This window comes from Homo sapiens, chromosome 19 (genome assembly GCF_000001405.40).
Source record: "Homo sapiens chromosome 19, GRCh38.p14 Primary Assembly".
NCBI lineage: Eukaryota > Metazoa > Chordata > Mammalia > Primates > Hominidae > Homo > Homo sapiens.
Window position 1 is genome coordinate 39,581,056 of NC_000019.10, and position 21,025 is coordinate 39,602,080.

Consider the following 21,025-nt stretch of genomic DNA (forward strand, 5'->3'; position numbering starts at 1 on the left):
ATAAACTGGAACCCTTGAACATTGCTGTTTGGAATGTAGGATGGTGTGGCTGCTGTGGAATATATTATGCAGTTCCTCAAAAACGTTACTCATCATAATATACATCTCTTTGGCAACTGGGATCAATTTTTTCTATAAATTCAATAATGTCAATTCACTGACAATAAAACTGAAGAGAAAAGTGAAGTAAGAGGGAGAAGAAAGCAAAGGAGGAAGGGAATTCTAATTCACTCCATCTTTAAATTCTAATACAGGTATTAAGGATGCTTCCCTTCATCACGAAAAGAGAACTTGAGGAGGGGTCCTGAGTCTCCCACCCCAGGTGAAGAAGACTTCATTATGACTGAAGTCCAATCACCTGTACCTGCACATGTCCTCACACAGTCTGGAACTAAGGAGCACACAAATCAAGAACTAGACTTAAGAATCTCAACTTTCTCCCTGAATCTGCAGGAGAAAGAGTGTCTCTGAAAATTTTTATTCCTATGGACACTCAATGAAAAGAAAAGGGTGCAGCTAGAGCCCAGGTGTGTGAGATGCAGATGGGAACAGCCCTCACCTGGCAGAGCCAAGGGGACCAGTGTGGGATCGGGGAACACAAGGGCTTTCTCTACCTTCCTCCATAGGTCCTGCTTAGGATCAAGACCAGTGTTCCCCCAGAACCTCTATAGGGAAAGGGAAAGGTTATCTTTCACTACCAATGATTTCTACAAGAATCTTCACTATTTTTACCATTGTACAAATTAAGAAAATGTACACCTTCTTGGGAAATTATGCACAGTGAAGAGAAGGCTTAATGAGAGGCATGGATGCTGGACTTCACAATCCCTCATCTTCACTCCATCATCCTTATCTGTGCATTTCCCTGGTGACCCCTTCCTCCCCCGGTACCTCTATCACTGTCATTTCTGCTGCATCACAGACACAGGCTTGCAAACAAGTGTGATTGTGACTGAGTCTGTTTCTGACACCTTACCCCTTCTCACCCTGTGGGAATCCTTGCTGAGAGTGTCTTGGAATCAGGAATGAAGCCGCATGGCAGGGCTGACAGGGACCATTTAAATGCTGCAAGTCCAAGACATTCACACTGAAGCCTAGACACAATTCAGAAGAGCCAACCTAAGGGAGCAAATATGTCACCCCTACCTGTGAGTTGAAAAGGCACACCCTTCAATAACCTCAAGTCACATAAAGGAAGGTGGAATAGAGACTTTATGAGATGAAAATGTGAGAGTTTGTATTGTGAGTGCTTTACTAGAGTTGTGTGTGTGCGGAAGACAGAGACCCTGGGGCTATGGTGTCTGAGATGTTTGTGGGGTGTTGAGTGTGGACCCTGGACCAGTGTAACCTTTTGTGAGGGTGCAATGGCATCTGATGAGAGTGAACTCTGCTGAGATGATGTGACTTTAGGTGGGAGGTGGAGAGGCCACCAGCATGGGTGAAACGTGCCTGAGTGTAAGAGGGTGACTGTGTTTTGTCTTCCTGTCTGTGATGTGTGTATGAGCACAGCCAGACCAATGCATGAGCACCTTTACATGCACAGTGAGTAGGCATGTGTGACTCAGTGAGTGGCGTGGCTCTGTGTGACTGTGGGTGTGTGTGCTGGGATATGACTTGGTGTTGAACTGGGAACATACATGTGGCTTTCTGTCCATGTGAAGGTTCCTCCTCACACAGCAGGGCCTCTGATGAAGCAGCTGTGCATCTTCCCATGTGTGTCAATGTGGATGCCGGGTGGCAGAACTGGTGGGGATCTTGGGGACTGGGAGTTACCAATGACTCGTTTGTGAGCATTAATGAGAGCAGAATGTATGATCTGTAGAGGTCTCTTCCCAGGCAGAGTGGAAAAGAGGAATCCAGACTATGGGAACGATGGTTCCTTAGGTGGGGTCTGCACACAGTGACCATCATCTCCTCCCTGTCATCCTCAGGTCTCTTCCTGTCCCCCACCCAAGCCTGCCCTTCCCATTCTAGTTCAGGAGGGTATGCAAATCCTGACTCTCTGAGGAATAACATTAGAGACTGTGGTTTCAGAGACTGAATCACCCCAAACCGGGAAGGAACAAGTGTAGCCTCAGTTCAGATAGAGCTTACTGTGGATATTAATCATCAAAGTAGCAGGGTTTGCTGGCTCATGCCTATAATCCCATCACTTTGGTAGGCAAAGATAGGAAAATAACTTGAGGCCAGGAGTTTGAGAGCAGCCTGGGCAAAATAGTGAGACATTGCCTTTACAAAAACTTTAAGTAACAGACAAGCATAGTGGCGAGCATCTTTCATTACGGCTACTCAGAGGCCAAGGTGTGAGAATCCCAGCAGCACAGAAGTTCGAGACTTTAGTGAGCTATGGATGCACCACTGCACATCAGCGTGGGTGACAGAGGAAGATCATGTCTCAAAAAGAAAGACAAAATATCCACTTGTGGGTTCTCTCTATCTACTTCCTTAACCCACACTCTTCATTTGTCTAAGTGCTGGGGCTGTGCTTTCAACAACTTTTACAACTTCTGGGAACGAAGTCCGTGGCCCTTGATGACTGTGATGCATGTTCATCCCACACACAGGGGTTTCCTGTTCTTTTGTTATTTCCCTCTCTCGTTCAACAAGTGTTGCTTCTTACTGGAATGGATTTCTCTACTGTTACATCCTCAGGTCTTGTTTTCACAGATATTAATTTCTCTAAGATCACCCTACAAAGTAAGAATTTCTAATAAAGACAAAAAAGTAAAAAGTGTAGAAAGTAGAGGAAAGAAAGAGTTTAAATAATCTTCCTTGTACATGGGAAATTAAATTAGGCAGCGATCAAGTAATGGATCTATGATTGCACTGCCAGTAAGAGGCACAATCAGGACTGGAGTCCAGGAAGCCTGGCTTCTGAATCCTTGCTCCTCATGTCTTTAGGAATATGGAGTTCTGACTGCGATAGGGTGAAAGAGGTAAGTCCTCACAGTTTGCCTGTTGATCTCTAACCTTCTGCATCATGGGAATGTGTCACAAAGCTGGAGGCCGCACCTGGCCTGGCCCCTCTCACCCACTCTCAATCTCCTAGCAAGTGCCACACACAAGGCCTGTGTCCTTGTCCATTGGTTCTTGCATGACAATCAGAGGGACATCGATCATCCCTTTCAAGTGAGTACTCCATGGTCCATGGCACAGGGGTGGAAAAGAAAGGAGAATATTTACTCAGGACGTGGTCTCATGTGGGTAATGTGGAAATGTGTAGTTGGCAGGATGGAGGTAGCATGCCACTGTAGATCCTGGGGACCCTCCAGCACCAGGCATGAAACCTGCAGTGGCTAAACTCTGGGCTAGTCATGGGGCCTAGGGGAAGAGGACACTCAAAGGTTGGGGCTGTGGCTCTTTATCAAGGGGCATGGAATTTTCAGAGAATGAACATAGGCCCAGGTAAGTGACTGTGGCTCACTTTCCATCTTTTGATGAGGGGCAGAGCACGTCCCCACGTGGGGGAAATATGAGGAGCTAAAACAGCCCCACAGGGACGAGGCCTGTAGTATGACAAGGGAGCCTTCGTTCTGTACTGGGGAAAGAAAGGAAGGGATTTGTGTGTGTGTGTTGATTGTGTGCCCCACAAGGGAGGGGCCTGCCCAACACTTCGTATGCTTTGCCCTCAGCAATCATTCAGCGCTGCAGATGGAATTCTACACTGGGACAAATGAGGTCTCAGACATTCCCTTCCATTTCTGAGTGCACTTTGGCCATTGTTTGGTCATTGACAGCCGTGTGTGGCCTGGACGTATGAGAGGAGCTGCAACAATGGGTTCTTTGAGAATGGCAAACCATTTGATCTGAGCATCTTGGTGCTGGACAATGAATACAAGGTGAATGCCCAAGGAGCTCCCAATACCTGGCCTTCTTGGGCTCTGAGAGCAGAAGGCAGCTCTCCCTGGCCTGGCCCCAGTAGTTGTTCAGGACCCATCTCTCATAACTACTCCTGCCCCGGGCACAGCACCCTCTGCTTGCACTGCCTTTCTCAGCTCTTTTCCAAAATCTGACTAGGATCAAGGTCATCACACCTAGGATTTCCCCCAAAGTGTAGAATCTCCTCAGTCTTTTCCCATTGTGCTCACTTCTACTTATGCAGTTATTTAAATTTTCACTTAGCTGAATGAATACAATATCCATAAGAATAAAATTGTTTTAGTCAACGAAAAATTAAGTCCTTCTTTCACTCCTGGACCCAATCTTATTCCTGGGAGCATTACCAGTGCTCTGCTCTCCTTCCACAGCAAATCTTTGCTTATGGAAACATATAGATCTATAATTTCACTTGTTTTTAAGAAAATCCCAGTATACATTGCTCTACACATTACACCTTAAAAACTGATTTGATTTGTTGTCAAAGAATATACCTTGAGGATCCCGTCTACTAATGGTGCTTCCTCAGTTTTTAAAGATTGCATAATATTGCATTAGAAGGATTACCCAAAATTACTGAACTTGACTGTTTTGATGGGACTTGAGGTTATTTCCAATATTTTGCTCTCACAAATGGTGCTGTATTAAGACTTCTAGTAATTTATTTTGTCATTATCCACCTCCCTTACTTATACTGAAAGATAATTACAAAGAAAAAAATAACTGGTTCAAAAATGTGTGTATTTTAAATTTAACAAATTGACACCTAGAAGGTTACTTTATAGCCTCAGTAATAAAGAATATGTCCCAATGTTCTGGCCCTTTCTAATGGATAGGCCAAAAGATTCACATTTTATTCAGATTCAAGTGAGGGATCTCTTTCTATGCTTAGAAGCTGTTCAAAATGATAGTCTATGTTTTGCAACACTTGTCCAATTGGGCCTCTCCAACAACACTTGAGTTTTATTCTTGGCCACCATCAGCCCGAATCTAGGCAACTCCAAAGGGAAAGTAGGCCATCAGCAGTGAATGGCAGTCATAGTTCACGGAAATGAAAGATATACATTCAATGAACATGGTCTAGCGTTAACCCTGTGTGAACCCCTCTGCAAGATGCAGGATTCAAGTTCATGAAACAGTCACTAGCCATGGGGATTTTCCAAGCTAGAGGGGAGGCTGAGCAAGCACGGACCATGTGACACAGAGTGGTAGAGCCTTGCTGGAAGAATGATATGAAACATTAGAAAGAAAGTAAGCAACTCTCTAAAATAAGCACAAATGTTAACATGTAAATAGAAGTGTGTGTCTTGGGTTCAGTTATATAGCTAGTAGTTTTCTCAGGGGATGTTGTAGGTAGTAGGACAGAGTGGAGAGGAGGCTGAAAGCTTGTTTGGTGGCATACTGTCTTTCTGATGCATTTTCCCTCTTTTAGGTAATAATAAATGGCCAACACTGTTACATCTTTGCCCATCTACTTCAACCATATTCTGTGAAGATAATGCAAGTGTGGAGAGATGTCTCCCTGACCTCAATGTCTGTCTGCAATTGAGGGAGATGACCACATCCCTCACTGTTGAGGAATGCTGCTTTTTTAAATTATATTTTAAGTTTTAGGGAACATGTGCACAACATGCAGGTTTGTTATATGTGTACACATGTGCCATGTTGGTGTGCTGCACCCATTAACTCATCATTTAACATTAGATATATCTCCTAATGCTATCCCTCCCCACTCCCCCCACCCCACAACATGCCCTGGTGTGTGATGTTCCCCTTCCTGTGTCCATGTGTTCTCATTGTTCAATTCCCACCTATGAGTGAGAACATGCAGTGTTTGGTTTTTTGTCCTTGTGATAGTTTGCTGAGAATGATGGTTTCCAGCTTCATCCATGTCCCTACAAAGGACATGAATTCATCAGTTTTTATGGCTGCATAGTATTCCATGCTGTATATGTGCCACATTTTCTTAATCCAGTCTATCATTGTTGGACATTTGGCTTGGTTCCAAGTCTTTGCTATTGTGAATAGTGCCTCAATAAACATACGTGTGCATGTGTCTTTATAGCAGCATGATTTATAATCCTTTGGGTATATACCCAGTAATGGGATGGTTGGGTCAAATGGTATTTCTAGTTCTAGATCCCTGAGGAATCGCCACACTGACTTCCACAATGGTTGAACTAGTTTACAGTCCCACCAACAGTGTAAAAGTGTTCCTATTTCTCCACATCCTCTCCAGGAGACCTGTTGTCTCCTGGCTTTTTAATGATTGCCATTCTAACTGGTATAAGATGGTATCTCATTGTGGTTTTGATTTGCATTTCTCTGGTGGCCAGTGATGATGATAATTTTTTCACGTGTCTTTTGGCTGCATAAATATCTTCTTTTGAGAAGCGTCTGTTCATATCCTTCGCCATGGAATCCCTCTTTCTATGTGACCACAGAATCCCCAGAGCCTACTGACAGCATGGTCTCTCCTCACCCTTTCCCCTGCACTTGGTCATTAAAACATCACCACACTTCCCAGGATTTGGTTCTTGCTTTAATGGGGAAAGAGGAAGTCATCATCCTCAAGAAGGCCCAAGGAACTTTATGGGAGGCATCCAGAAACCAAAGTGGATAAACCTTCTTGTGACTCCGGGAGTGACAAGGTCCTTAGAATGTCTTAGAAGTCATTATGTACGGCATCTTTCTACAGCACATTGTTGACATCAGAGACTCTGAGACAAATACCTTACCCAATCTTAGATGACTCACTGCACTGAAATGTTAGGTAGCTGTTTAAAGCCTCACAGGTGTACCTCGAGGCTTTGGGGAGAAATTTTGTAACTTGAGGACAATCTGGTGGAATTTTCTAATTATTTCCATTGTTCTCAGGATATTTATTGTGTAATCACGGTGCCTGGCTTTGTACAGGCTACCATGCAGAAACTTTAGAAACAGACACACTTCCCACATGAAAACTTCAATCCAAGCAATAGTTAGAGAATCACAAGAGTCCCAAGATTTCCCTTAAAGAACCCCAATTGTTGATGTTTAAAAATAATAGCGAGATTTTTCTGATGTAAGTGGCAGAATCCTTGAATTTCTATTTAAAAATAAATGGTTATGGTTTTAGATCAGAAAATATGTAGTTTATTGTTGGGATGAACACAATTCATACATATGGACACAGTGAGCAGACCTTGCTTTGTTGCTGTTTCACTAGGCATTGCAGCACAGCAAACCTCCCAACACATGTTGGCTTAGAGCAATCTTTTCTTCTGATCTTGCTCAGTTAACTGGACTCATGTGGGTGGTAGATCATGTAGTGAAAGTGACGTTTTCTGAAGGATATTTCAGGCTGTGATTCCAGAGGATGCTTCACTCATGTCTGACTCAACACTAGGGCTGGGCGAACACCTGGGGCTGGCTGGTTATTTCCTTTCCTACCTCACCTCCAAATTCATGCCTTGAATTCCCTCAAATCATGAGAGTCTCCTGTTTCTTGGACTGAATGATGATAGGCTTCCACCAAAGCAAGCCTCCCAAAAGGCTCAGGAAGAAGGTGCAAGGTATCATAGGACCTAGCTTTGAAAGGCAGACAGTGTCACTTCTATGACATTATATTGATCAAAGTGAGCCATACACACAGCCCAAATCAAAGGAAGGGAACTTCATAAGCTGTGGTTATTGTGACATGTGGTCATGAAGGAGCATCCTTGGCAATTATTTCCACTCGGTCCTCACTGGCTTACAAGCTTCTCATATATCAAGGATACCAATCCTGTAAGGAACCACTGAAGGCAACATGTTTACAGGAACAGGCTCAGATTGAAGTCTAGTATTTTATCATCCAATCAGGATCTGGTGTCCATGAGGTGACTACAAATTATCAGGTGCACTTTCAACATATGCACTAAAGAAATATATTATCTGCCCTATAAAATTAAACATACAAGACTAAAACAGATATAGGAAAATGCAGTGAACACACTTATTTTAGAGGGGCAAAAGATAATAAACAACAAAACTGAAAGCAAGGTGGGTCACCAATAGCTCTACTGGAGCCACCCACAAAAATTCAGCCAGGGTTCTCACTCTTATTGCATCTGCTCAAACCAGCATGACCTATTCCGAAAATGTTGTCTTGATATGTGCCGCTTCTGTTTCCATAAGTGCTTAAAGGATATAGATTTCATTAGGTTAGACTAAGTGATCTTCCTTCAATTTATAAGCAAGACATCCACTCAGTGAAAGAAACCATGCTAGCTCTTTGTACATGAAAAAAAAAATTAAAACAAAGAAACCAATTCAAAAAAAAAAAAAGACAAAAAAGGCAGCCATCACTGGTCCATATCATTGCTGAAACCAACAAGACCCCCATTTGCATCTTCTCTGAAAATGTTTCTCTGCCACAGTTGTCTCCACCTTCTACTGTCAGTGTCTTAGAGCTCCCACAAAGATGGCACAATGAAAACCCTTTTCCTGCTACAAGAGCTGTTGTCACCTATTTCATGACACAAATAGAGAACCATTTAGGAGAAGATAAACAACATATTACCTAAAAGCCAAACAATGCAGATTGAAGAGGGTCTCAACAAATAGCCTCTTTGTCTGCAGGGCCCATCTAAGGCATCATTTTGATCATCCTCATTCTCCGTTCTCATGTTCCTTGCCACAGTTTGTTCAACTCCAACCTTACTCATGGGTATGCCTCCCGTTTTGCCCTCCTTTAACCTAACATCCAGATACCTTTAGGTGTCAATGCACAGTAAATAACACTCTCATGCCTCTCTTTCTTGTTTCTTTCCTGTATGAACTGAAATTCCCTTCATTCTCACTGGGGAGTCTCAGGTTCTTGTTAGACACATTCTCCTCCTTATATCTTCCCTCTCACAGTTTTGTTCACTTCTCTGTTTTGATGATGGATCACAGGCCCCCTCATCAGCATGGAAATCATTTTTTGGGGAATTAGACAATTCTTGCTCTCAGTGGATAAAGACAATCTTGGAACCCATGACTTTCTGATCAGAACACGAGTTTGATTTCATATCTACATGCCCCTGGTTGATGCCCATTGTATTTGAATAGCTTACAGGGTCCTACATGCTGTCCCTGCCAGGCAAACACACAGTGACTGCCTTTTCTTGACTGATATTCACCAGCTCAGTTCAGTTCATATAAGCCTTTTGTTACACTTATCTTTATACCAGCTGCTGCCCTGTGCTCTTGGTGGCCAAGAGAGATGTCTGAGATGAAAAGAGAAGGCATAGAGTCCAGGAATCAATGTTCAACAAACGATTTTTGATTTGCCTCTGGGGACCTACTCAACATATTTTTCATACAGATAAACCGGAATTCATGGTCTTCTCCCAGCAAACACAGCATTGCTCAGAACACAGCATTTCTGGACTCTAAAGCCTTGCCTTCTGAAAGGTCTGTAGGGCTTTTCAGTTTTTGATGAAAGCCCCCAAAGAATAAATCTACTCTGCTAATGTTGTCCTTGATGCCCAAGTCCCCTAAAGCTGTTTCCTCTAAGGTGCTGTCCGTGGTACTGGGCACTGGTGCTTCTGGGCCTGTATTTGCAAGTGAGGGGCCAATAAGACAGAATTAACATAAATTTTTTGTTTTGTTTTGTATTTGATAAATCACAGCTCAAAATATGTATAATGAATGGAGCAGGAATTGAATTTGGATCTTCAGACCCCAATTTCTGCAGTGCCCTCTCTCACCCCTCCTATTCAACATAGTTTTGGAAGTCCTGGCCAGAGCAATCAGGCAAGAGAAAGAAAGAAAGGGCATCCAAACAGGAAGAGAGGTCAAACCATCCTTGTTTGTAGACATGATTTCCTATCTAGAAAACCTCATAGTCTCCACCCAAATGATCCTCAAGCTGGTAAACAACTTTAGCAAACTTTCAGGATACAAAACCAATGTGCAAAAATCACTAGAACTCCTATATGCCAACAACACGTAAGCATATGGCCAAATCAGAAGTTCAATTCCATTCACAATTGCCATAAAAAATAAAATACCTAGGAATAATAAACTACAACCTGAAAGTAAAATGGGTCACCAATAGCTCTACTGGAGCCACCCACAAAAATTTAGCCAGGGTTCTCACTCTTGTTACATCTGCTTAAACCAGCATGACCTTATCCAAAAATATTGACTCGATGTGTGCCACTTCTGTTTCCATAAGTACTTAAAGGATATAGGTTTCATTAGGTTAGGCTAAGTGATCTGCCTTCAATTTATAAGCAAGACATCCACTCAATGAAAGAAACAGTCAATGAAAGAAATCCACTCAATGAGAGAAAGCTAACCAGTGGGTGAAAGATCGTTACAAGGATAATTTCAAAACACTGCCTAAAAAAACATAGATGACCCAAACCAATGGAAAAACACTCCATGCTCATGAATAGCAAGAATCATTATCATTAAAACAGCCATGCTGCCCAAAGAAATATACATATTCAATGCTATTCCTATTGAACTACCAATGACATTTCTCACAGAATTAGAAAAAAAAAAACTATTTTAAAATGCACATGGAACCAAGAATGAGTTGATTAAAAAAGACAATTCTAAACAAAAAGAACAAAGCTAGAAGCATCACTTTACCCAACTTAAAAGTATACTACAGGGCCACAGTAACTGAACAGTATGGTACTGGTACAAAAACAGACACATAGACAAGTGGGACAGAATAGAGAGCCCAGAAATAAGGTCACACACCTACAACCATCTGATCTTTAACAAAGCTGACCAAACAAGCACTGGAAAATGAACTTTCTCTTCAAGAAATGGTTTTGGGATAACTGGTAGCCATATGCAGATGATTGAAACTGAATCCCTTCCTTGCATTATGTAGAAAAAATCAATTCAAGAGGGGTTTTAAGACTTAAATGTAAAACCCAAAACTATAAAAACCCTGGAAGTCTACCTAGGCAATATCATTCTAAATGTAGGAATGGGGAAAAGTTTCATAACAAAGATGCCAAAAGCAATCACAAGAAAAGCAAAAATTGACAAATGGATCTATTTAAACTAAAGAGCTTCTGCACAGCAACGGAAACTATCAACAGAGTCAACAGACAACCTACAGAATTGGAGAAAATATTTGCAAATTATGTATCTGAAAAAGGTCTTATATCTAGCATCTATAAGGAATTGTAATTACTTTACAAGAAAAGAACAAACAACTGCATAAAAAAGTGGGCAAAGGGGCCGGGCGTGGTGGCTCACGCCTGTAATCCCAGCGCTTTATGAGGTGGAGGAGAGCGGATCACGAGGTCAGGAGATTGAGACCATTCCGGCTAACATGGTGAAACCCTTCTCTACTGAAAATACAAAAAATTAGCCGGGTGTGGTGGCACGCACCTGTAGTCCCAGCTACTCGACAGGCTGAGGAAGGAGAATCTCTTGAACCCGAAGGCAGTTGTTGCAGTGAGCCGAGATCGCGCCACTACACTCCAGCCTGGGCGACAGAGCGAGACTCGATCTCAAAATAAAAGTAGGCAAAGGGCTGAATGCGGTGGCTCATGCTTGTAATTTCAGCACTTTAAGTGGCTGAGGCAGGTGCATCGCTTGAGCCCAGGAGAGACCAGCCTGGACAACATGGTGAAACCCTATCTCTACAAAATTAGAAAAATTAGGCAAATGTTACCCCATGCACCAGTAATCCCAGCTACTCAGAAGGCTGAACTGGGAGGATCACCTGAGCCCAGGCACAAATTGCAGTGAGCCGAGATTGCTCCGCTGCACTTCAGCCTGGGTGTCAGAGTGAGACCCTGTCTCAAAGAAAAGTAGACAAAGGACAGGAACAGACACTTCTCAAAAGAAGACATACATGTGGCCAAAAAGCATATGAAAAGAAGCTCAACATCCCTGAATGTTAGAAAAATGCAAATCAAAACCACAATGAAATACCATCTCTCACCAATCAGAATGGCTACTCTTCAAAAGTCAAAAAATAACAGATGCTAGCAAGCTTGTAAAGAAAAGGGAACACTTACACATTGTTGGTGGTATTAGTTTAACCATGGTGGAAAGCAATGTGATGATTCTTCAAACAGCTAAAATAGAACTACCATTTAACCCATGTATCCCATCACTGGGTATATACCGAGAAGAATATAAATCATTCTACCATAAAAACATGTGCATGTGAATGTTTATTACCACAGTATTCACAATGGCAAAAACATGGAATCAACCTCAATGCCCATGGAGGACAGACTGGATAGAGAAAATGTGGTACATATACACCATAGTATTCTATGCAGCCTCAAAAAAGAATGAGATTATGTCTTTTGCAGAAACATGGATGGAGCTGTAGACCATTTTCCTTAGCAAACAAATGTGGAAACAAAAAATGAAATGCTGCATGTTCTCACTTAGAAGTGTGAGCTAAATGATGAGGCTCATGGACACCAAGAGGGGAACAACACGCACCGGGGCCTACTTGAGAGTGGAGGGTGAAAGATGGGACAGGAGCTGAAAAAATGACTATTGGGTTCTAGGCTTAGCAACTGGATGATTAAATGATCTGTACCACAAACGCCCATGACACGAGTTTTCCTGCACATGTACCCCTGAATGTAAAATAAAAGTTTAAAAAACAAAGAAAAAAATAATCTCATCTTTCTTCTGGAATCTGCAGCACAACCAGTATCCCTGAAACTTTGATTTACATGGACACCAAGAGAAAGGAGAGGGTATAGCTAGAGCCCAGATGTGTGACAGACAGATGAGAGCAGCCCTCACCTGGTAGAGCCAATGGGCCTAGGGTGGGGCAGGTTCATGCCAGGACTTTCTCTACCTCTCTCCCAGATCATCCTGAGGATCAAGATCAGTGCTGTCCCAGAATGTTTAAAGGCAGAAAGAATGATTACCTTCTAGAGCCAACGACTTTACCAAGAATCCTCACCTTAAAAAAATTTATTTTTGTACAAATTGAGAAAATGTATATCTTCCGGGTAGATTCTCTCCGGTGTAGAAAAGGTTTGAGGGGCACAAAGGCTGTGCTTTAAAATCATTCTTCCTTGCTCCCTCATCATTATGCTTGCATTTCCCTGGTAACCCAATCCACAGCCTAGTACCTCTCCCAGTATAATTTCGCTGCATTACAGACACAGGCCTGCAAACAGCTATGGTTTTAACTGAGTTTCTTCCTGACAGCTGAGCCTTTCTCACCCTGCAAGGGAAGCTTGCTGAGAGGAAATTGGAATCAGGAATGAAAGCAGAGGGCATGGTTTACAGGGACCATTTAAATGCTGCAACTCAAAGATTCACACAGAAGCCCGGACACAATTCCGAAGTTGCCCAGAGGAAGCAAAAATGTCAGAGCTACAGGTAAGTTGAATACCCTTTATTTCTTTCTCCTGCCTGATTGCCCTGACCAGAACTTCCAACACTATGTTGAATAGGAGTGGTGAGAGAGGCATCCCTGTCTTGTGCCAGTTTTCAAATGGAATGCTTCCAGTTTTTGCCCATTCAGTATGATATTCGCTGTGGATTTGTCATAAATAACTCTCATTATTTTGAGATACGTCCCACCAATACCTAATTTATTGAGAGTTTTTAGCATGAAGGTTGTTGAATTTTGTCAAAGGTCTTTTCTGCATCTATTGAGATAATCATGTGGTTTTCGTCTTTGGTTCTGTTTATACGCTGGATTACGTTTATTGATTTGCGTACGTTGAACCAGCCTTGCATCCCAGGGATGAAGCCCACTTGATCTTGGTGAATAAGCTTCTTGATGTGCTGCTGGATTCAGTTTGCCAGTATTTTATTGAGGATTTTTGCATGGATGTTCATCAGGGATATTTGTCTTAAATTCTCTTTTTTGGTTGTGTCTCTGCCAGGCTTTGGTATCAGGATGATGCTGGCCTCATAAAATGAGTTAGGGAGGATTCCCTCTTTTTCTATTGATTGGAATAGTTTCAGAAAGAATGGTACTAGCTCCTCCTTGTACCTCTGGTAGAATTTGGCTGTGAATCCCTGTGGTCCTGGACTTTTTTGGTTGGTAGGCTATTAATTATTGCCTCAATTTCAGAGCCTGTTATTGGTCTATACAGAGATTCAACTTCTTCCTGGTTTAGTCTTGGGAGGGTGTATGTGTTGAGGAATTTATCCATTTCTTCAGATTTCTAGTGTATTTGCATAGAGGTGTTTATAGTATTCTCTGATGGTAGTTTGTATTTCCGCGGGATTGGTGGTGATATCCCCTTTATCATTTTTTATTGGGTCTGTTTGATTCTTCTGTTTTTCTTCTTTATTAGTCTTGCTAGCGGTCTATCAACTTTGTTGATCTTTTCAAAAAACCAGCTCCGGGTAATGGAGTAATGGATCTTTTCATATGCTTAGAAGTTGTTAAAGATAATATCCTGTGTTTTATAATACCTGTCCTGCTTTACCTTTGTAAGAATGCTTGGGTTTCATTTTCTGCCACCATTAGCCCAAATTTGGGCTACTGCTCAACAGTGAATGGCAGTCATGGTTCATGGAGCTGAAATGAATGCATTCAATGAACATTGTCGAGGACTAACCCTGTGAGTGGCCATGTGCAAGATGCAGGAATTCAAGTTCATGGGCACAGTCCCTTGCCATGGAAATCTTCTAGGCTAGAGGGGAGGCTGAGCAAACAGGGACCTTATGACATGGAGTGGTAGAGCCTCAACAGAAGCTTGTCTACTGGGTTCAGTTGTCTGACTAGGAGTTTTCTCAGGGGAAGTTGTAGTACTAGGACAGAGTGGAGAGGAGGCTGAAAGTTTGTTTGGTTTGGTGGTGTACTGTCTTTCTGATGCATTTTTTCCTTTTGTAGGTAATGGTAAATGGCCAACACTGTTACATATTTGCCCATCAACTCCTGCAAGCATCTGTGAATATGCTCTGGATGTGGAGATGTCTCCATGAGCTCAACATCTATGTGCAGTTGAAAGAGATGACCACAATCCTTGTTGTTGAGGAATCCCTCTTTCTACAAGACCATGGGATTCCCAGAGCCTGTTAACAGAATAATCCCTCCTCAATCCTTTCTATACACTTGGTCATTAAAAGTTCGGCAAATTTTCCAGGATTTGATAGTCATCCCGACAGGCGCTGAAAGATTACATGGGAAGCATTAAGACATCAAAGAGTAAAAACCTTCCTATGACTCAAGGAGTGAGTAACACGGTCCCTGGAATGTCTGAGAAATTAAAAACGGCATCCTTCTATAGCACATAGTTGACATCAAGCACTCAACTAAAACCCTTACTCAATCTCAGATGACTCATTGCAAATGTTGGGTAGCTGTTTACAGCCACACAGGTATAACTGGTAGTTTTAAGAAGAAACTGTAACATTAGGACAATCAGGTGGAATATCATAATTCTACCCGTTGTTCCAAGGATGCTTACTGTATATGAACACTGTGCCTCACTCTGTGCAGACTGCCATGAGGGAACTTTAGAAACAGATGACAAATTCCTGGCCAGGCGTGGTGGCTTACGCCTGTAATTCCATCACTTTCGGAGACCACGGTGGGCAGATCACTTGAAGTGAGGAGTGTGAGACCAGACTGCCCAACATGGCGATGCCGTCTCTACTAATAATACAAAAATTGGCTGGGCGTGGCAGCAAGCGCCTGTAATTCCAGCTAGTTGGAAGGGTGAGGCATGAGAATCACTTGAACCCAGCAGGCAGAGGTGGCAGTGAGCCGAGTACACGCCACTACACTCCAATCTGGGTGACAGAGTAAGACTCTGTCTCAAAAAAAAAAAAAAAAAAAAAGGCAAATTACCCACATAAAAATTTTGCTCCAAGCAGTAGTTAGAGAATCACAAAAGTTTAATGATTTCTTTCAATGATCCTGATTATTCTTGTTTCTAAATACTTGAAATATTTTTTCAATTTATGTGGACAGAATTCTGGGATTTCTCTTTGGAAACAAGTGGTCATGGTTTTCAGATCAGAAAATATGTAGTTTATTGTTGTAATAGACACAATTCATACTACACACAGGCACAGTGAGGAGACTCTGCTTTGCTGCTGTTACATTTAGACATTGCAGCACAGCAAGCCTTCCAACACATATTAGCTGAAAGCAACCATTTATTCTGATCTCTCCCAGCTTTGCAGGTTTACTGGACTTATGAGGTTGGTAGATCATGTGCTGGGAGTCACATTTTCCAAAGAATCTGTGGTCTGGGATTCCAGGGGATGCTTCACTCATGTCTGACTCAACACTAGGGCTGAGTAAACACCTGGGGGCTGGCTGGTTATCTCCTTCTTTGTCTAAACTCTCCATTAGTGCCTTGAATTTCCTCAAATCATGAGAGTCTCATAGTTCTTGGACTTAATGGATGGTGATTGGCTTCCACCAACTAAAGCCTTCTGAAAGGCTCAAGGAGAAGGTGTAGGGCATTAGAGTACATAGCTTTGAAAGGCAGACATTGTCACTTCTATGACATTATATTGATCAAGTTGAGTCATGCAGGCAGCCCAAATCAAAGAGGAATCCACAAGCTTTGGTTATTTTGACTTGTAGATCCTGAGAGGTCATCCTTGGCAACTATTTCCACGCAGTTCCACACTTATATGTGTAAGTGTGTATATAGGCTTACACACTTCCCACATACTAAAAACTCTAACCCTGTAAGGAACTACTGAAAGCAATACAATTACAGGAGGCAGCTCAGATTGAAGTCCAGCATCTTATCATCCAATTACTCTCAGATGTCCATGAGGAGACTACAAACTGTCAGGTGCACTTTCTCTCAAAATATGCACCAAAGGGATACATATTTGCCCTATACAAATCAATCACACAAGACTGAAACAGACAAAGGAAAATGCAGTTAACACAACTATTTTAGAGGGGCAAAAGATAACAAATGGCACCTTTTGCCTCATAGCACTCTGAGAAGCAAGAGGGGTCACCAGCAGCTCTACTAGAGCCACTTATGAAAATTCAGCCTGGGTTCTCACTCTTGTCGCATCTGCTCAAACCAGCATAGTCTGTTCCGGAAATACTACCTCAATGTGTGCCCCCAGTGTTTCCATAAGTACTTTAAAAACATACATTTCATTAAGTTGGACTAAGAGGTCTTCTTTGAATGGATAACCAAGGCATCCACACAACGAAAGAAACCGTGTTAGCTCTTTGTACATAAATTTAAAATTCAAACAAACAAACAAACAAGTACAGAAAAGAAAATAGACCACAGTCACGGTCCATATCACTGAGGAAACCAACAAGATCTCTTTTTTCATTTTCTCTGGGAACGTTTCCCTGCAGCAATTGGCTTCATCCTCCATTCTTAGCTTCTTGGAACTCCTACCAAGATGGCAGAATGACAGTCCTTTTTCCACTACAAGAGTTTTGATTATCTACTTCATAGTGCATATAGAGAACCATTTAGGAGAAGATAAACAACATATTTCCTAAAAGTCAACGAAGGATGATTGAAGAGAGTCTCATCAAATAGCCTTTTTTCTGCTGGGCCAATCTCAGGCATCATTTTGATCATCGTCATCCTCTCTCCCCAGGTTCATTGCCACAGCTTGTTCAACTCCAACCTTACTCATGGGTATGCCTTTCTCTGTACTGCTTCTTTAACCTAACATCTGGATACCTTGAGGTATCAATGCACAGTGAATTATGCTCTTCATGCCTTTCTTCCTTGTTTCTTTCCAGTATAAAATGAAATTTCCTCCCCTCTCATTGGAAACTCTCAGGTTCTGATTAGGTACACTCTCCTCCTTACACCATCCCTGTCACAGTCCTGGTCAATTCTGTATTTTGATAGTGGATTATAGGCTCCATCACCAGCATGGAATTCATTTGTTGGGGATTTAGGCAATTCTTTCTCTGAGAGGATGAAGACTATCCTGGAATCTATGACTTCCTGAGCAGAACATGAGTTTGATTTCATATCTGCTTGCCTCTGGATGACACCCATTTTATTTGAGTGGCCTACAGAGTCCTACATGCTGGCCTTGCAACACACACAGTGACTCCCATTTCTTGGCTGACATTCACCAGCTCATTTCTGTTCACATGGGCCATTTGTTACACTCATTTTTATCTCAGGTAATACGTTTTGCTCATGGTGGCCAGGATGACATCTCAGACACAAAGAGATGACATAGAATTCAGGAGCCAATGTTTAACAAAGAATTTTTGAATTGCCTCTGGGGACCTACTCAACATCATTTTCATACTCCTCAACCAAAATTCCCTATCTTCTCCCAGCAAATACGGCATGCTCAAAACACAGAAAGTCGTACTTGGACTCTAAAGCTTTCATTCTCAAAGGTATTTAGGCTTTTTAGTTTTTGTTGAAGCCTCCCAAGGAATAAATCTATTTGGTGATAATATTGTCCTTGTCCCTCAAAGCTGTTTCACTTGTGGTGCTGTCCGTGGTGCTGAGCATTGGTGCATTAGGCCCTGTATTTGAAAGTGAGGAGCCAATACGACAGAGTAAGAGAGGAATTTTGTTTTGTTTTCTTTTGTATTTGCTAGACCATAGACAAAACCTCCATGATGACTAAAACAGAAATTCAACTTGGATTTTCAAACCACAATTTCTTCAGTGCCCTCTCTCCTCACTTCTATTTAACATAATATTGGAAGGCCTGACCAGAGCAATCACGCAAGAGAAAAGAAGAAAGGGTATCTAAATACAAAGAGAGGTCAAACCATCCCTGTTTGCAGATGTCATGATTCTATATCTAGAAAACTCCATAGTCTTCACCCGAAAGATCCTTAAGCTGGTAAACCACTTTAGCAAAGTTTCAGGATACAAAATCAATATGCAAAAATCACTAGAACTCCTATATGCCAACAACAGCGACAGGGACAAATCAAGAATGCAATTCCATTCAAATTTGCCATAAAAAGAATAAAACACCTAAAAATACAGCTAATCAGGGAGGTAAAAGATCGTTACAATGAGAATTACAAAACACTACTCAAGGAAACCAGAGATGACACAAAGAAATAGAAAAACATTCCATGCTCATAGATAAGAAAAACCAATTATCATTAAGACAGCCATACTGCCCAAAGAAATTTAGATGCAAGGCTATTTGTCTCAAACTATGAATGACATTCTTCACAGAATTAGAAGAAATATTATTTTAAAATTTAAATGGAACCAAAAAAATGCCAAATAACCGGGGCAATTCTAAGTGAAAAGAACAAAACTGGAGGCATCAAATTACCCAACTTCAAAATATACTACAAGGCTACAGTAACCAAAACAGCATGGTATCGGTATGAAAAGAGACACACAGACCAATGGAACAGAATGGAAAGCCCTAAATAAGGCCACAAACCTACAACCATCTGGTCTTCAACAAAGCTGACCAAACAAGCAATGGAAAAAGGACTCCCTATTCAAGAAATGGTGCTGGGAGAACTGGCTAGCCATATGCAGAAGATTGAAACTGGACCCCTTCTTTACACCATATACAAAAGATAGATTAAAGACTTAAAAGATTAAACCCAAAACTATAAACATCCTGGAAGACAACCTAGACAATACCATGTGGGACATAGGCATGAGAAAAATTTCATGATGAAGATGTCAAAGGCAATTAGGAGAAAAGCAAAAATTGACAAACAGAATCTAATTAAACTAAAGAGCTTCTGTACAGTGAAGGAAACTATCAAGAGAGTAAACAGACAGCCTAAGGAATGGGAGAAAATGTTCTCAAACTATGTATCTGAAGAAGGTCTAATATCCGAGCATTTATAAGAAATTTCAACAACTTCACGAGAAAGAAACAAACAAACCCATAAAAAAGTGGGTAAAGAGCTTGACACAGTGGCTCATGCCTGTAATCCCAGCGCTTTGGGCAACCAAGGCTGGTGGATCACTTGAGCCCAGGAATTTGAGAACAGGCTGGGTAACATGGCAAAAACCCATCTCTACTAAAAATAGAAAAAAAAAATAGCCTAGCATGGAGACATGCACCTGTAGTCCCAGCTACTCAGGAGACTGAGCTTAGAAAAATCACCTGAGCCCCGGAGCCAGAGGTTACAGTGAGCCAAGATGGTGCCACATCACTCCAGCCTGAATGTCAGAGTGAGACCTGTTTTAAAACAACAACAAAAAAGTTGAGCAAAGGACACGAACAGACACTTTTCAAAAGTAAGGATACAGGTGGCCAAAAAACATATAAAAAAGCTCAATATCACTGAACATTAGAGAAATGCAAATCAAAACCACAGTGAGATACCATCTCACACCAGTCAGAATGGCTGTTATTAAAAAGTCAAAAAAGGACAGATGCTTCAAGGTTGTGGAGAAAAGGGAGAACTCACACATTGTTGGTGACAGTGTAAATTAGTTCACCCATTGTGGAAAGCAGTGTGGTGATTCCTCAAAGAGCTAACAATAGATCTACCATTCAACCCAGCAATCCCATCACTGGGTGTATACCCAGAAGAAAAGAAATCATTCTGCCATAAAGACATATGCACATGAATGTTCATTGCAACACTATGCACAATAGCGAAGACACAGAATGAACCCAAATGCCAATCAATGACAGATCGGTTACAGAAAATGTGGTACATGTACACAATGAAATACTATGCAGTCCTAAAAAAGAATGATATTATGTCTTTTGCAGGAACATGGATGGAACTGGAGGCCATTATTCTTAGCAAACTAATGCAGGAACAGAAAACCAAATACTGCATGTTCTCACTTATCAGCGTGAACTAAATGAGGAGGCTCATGGACATCAAGAGGGAAACAACACACACTGGGGCCTCCTTGAGGGTGGAGGATGAAAGGTGGAAGAGGAGAAAAAAAATAACTTTTGAGTACTACACTTAGTAACCAGGTGAAGAAATCATATACACCACAAATCCCATGACACGACTTTATCTGCATATGTACCCCGAACCTAAAATAAAATGAAAGAAAAATCAAATAAAAACAACAATCTCACCTTCCTCCCAGAATCTGCAGGAGAAACAGTGTCTCTGAAACTTTTATTTACATGGACACCAAGAGAAAGGAGAGGGTGTAGCTAGAGCCCAGGTGTGTGACAGTCAGGTGAGAGTGGCCCTTACCTGGCAGAGCCAAGCAGCCTAGTGTGGAATAGGTTCATGCAAGAAATTTCTCTGCTTCTCTCCACAGATCCTCCTGAGGATCAAGGTCAG

The 21,025-nt window shown here is 41.8% G+C and overlaps 3 pseudogenes, besides 2 other annotated features; all 3 read left to right on the top strand.

Annotated features, from left to right (window-relative positions):
- On the top strand, window positions 7,900-8,070 carry RPS29P24 (ribosomal protein S29 pseudogene 24; annotated as a pseudogene).
- Window positions 9,926-10,096, top strand: RPS29P25 (ribosomal protein S29 pseudogene 25; annotated as a pseudogene).
- Window positions 14,434-15,633: an enhancer, noted in NCBI's record as "MED14-independent group 3 enhancer chr19:40086129-40087328 (GRCh37/hg19 assembly coordinates)". NCBI's record gives its function as "activates an origin of replication core promoter dependent on BRD2, BRD4, P300/CBP and CDK7 cofactors, and independent of MED14, by STARR-seq in HCT116 cells {active_cell/tissue: HCT116}" and the evidence as "EXISTENCE:reporter gene assay evidence [ECO:0000049][PMID:35650434]".
- RPS29P26 (ribosomal protein S29 pseudogene 26) lies at window positions 16,780-16,947 on the top strand (annotated as a pseudogene).
- Window positions 18,151-18,351: a silencer, noted in NCBI's record as "peak3478 fragment used in MPRA reporter construct". NCBI's record gives its function as "represses an SCP1 promoter by STARR-seq MPRAs in K562 erythroleukemia cells {active_cell/tissue: K562}" and the evidence as "EXISTENCE:reporter gene assay evidence [ECO:0000049][PMID:32103011]".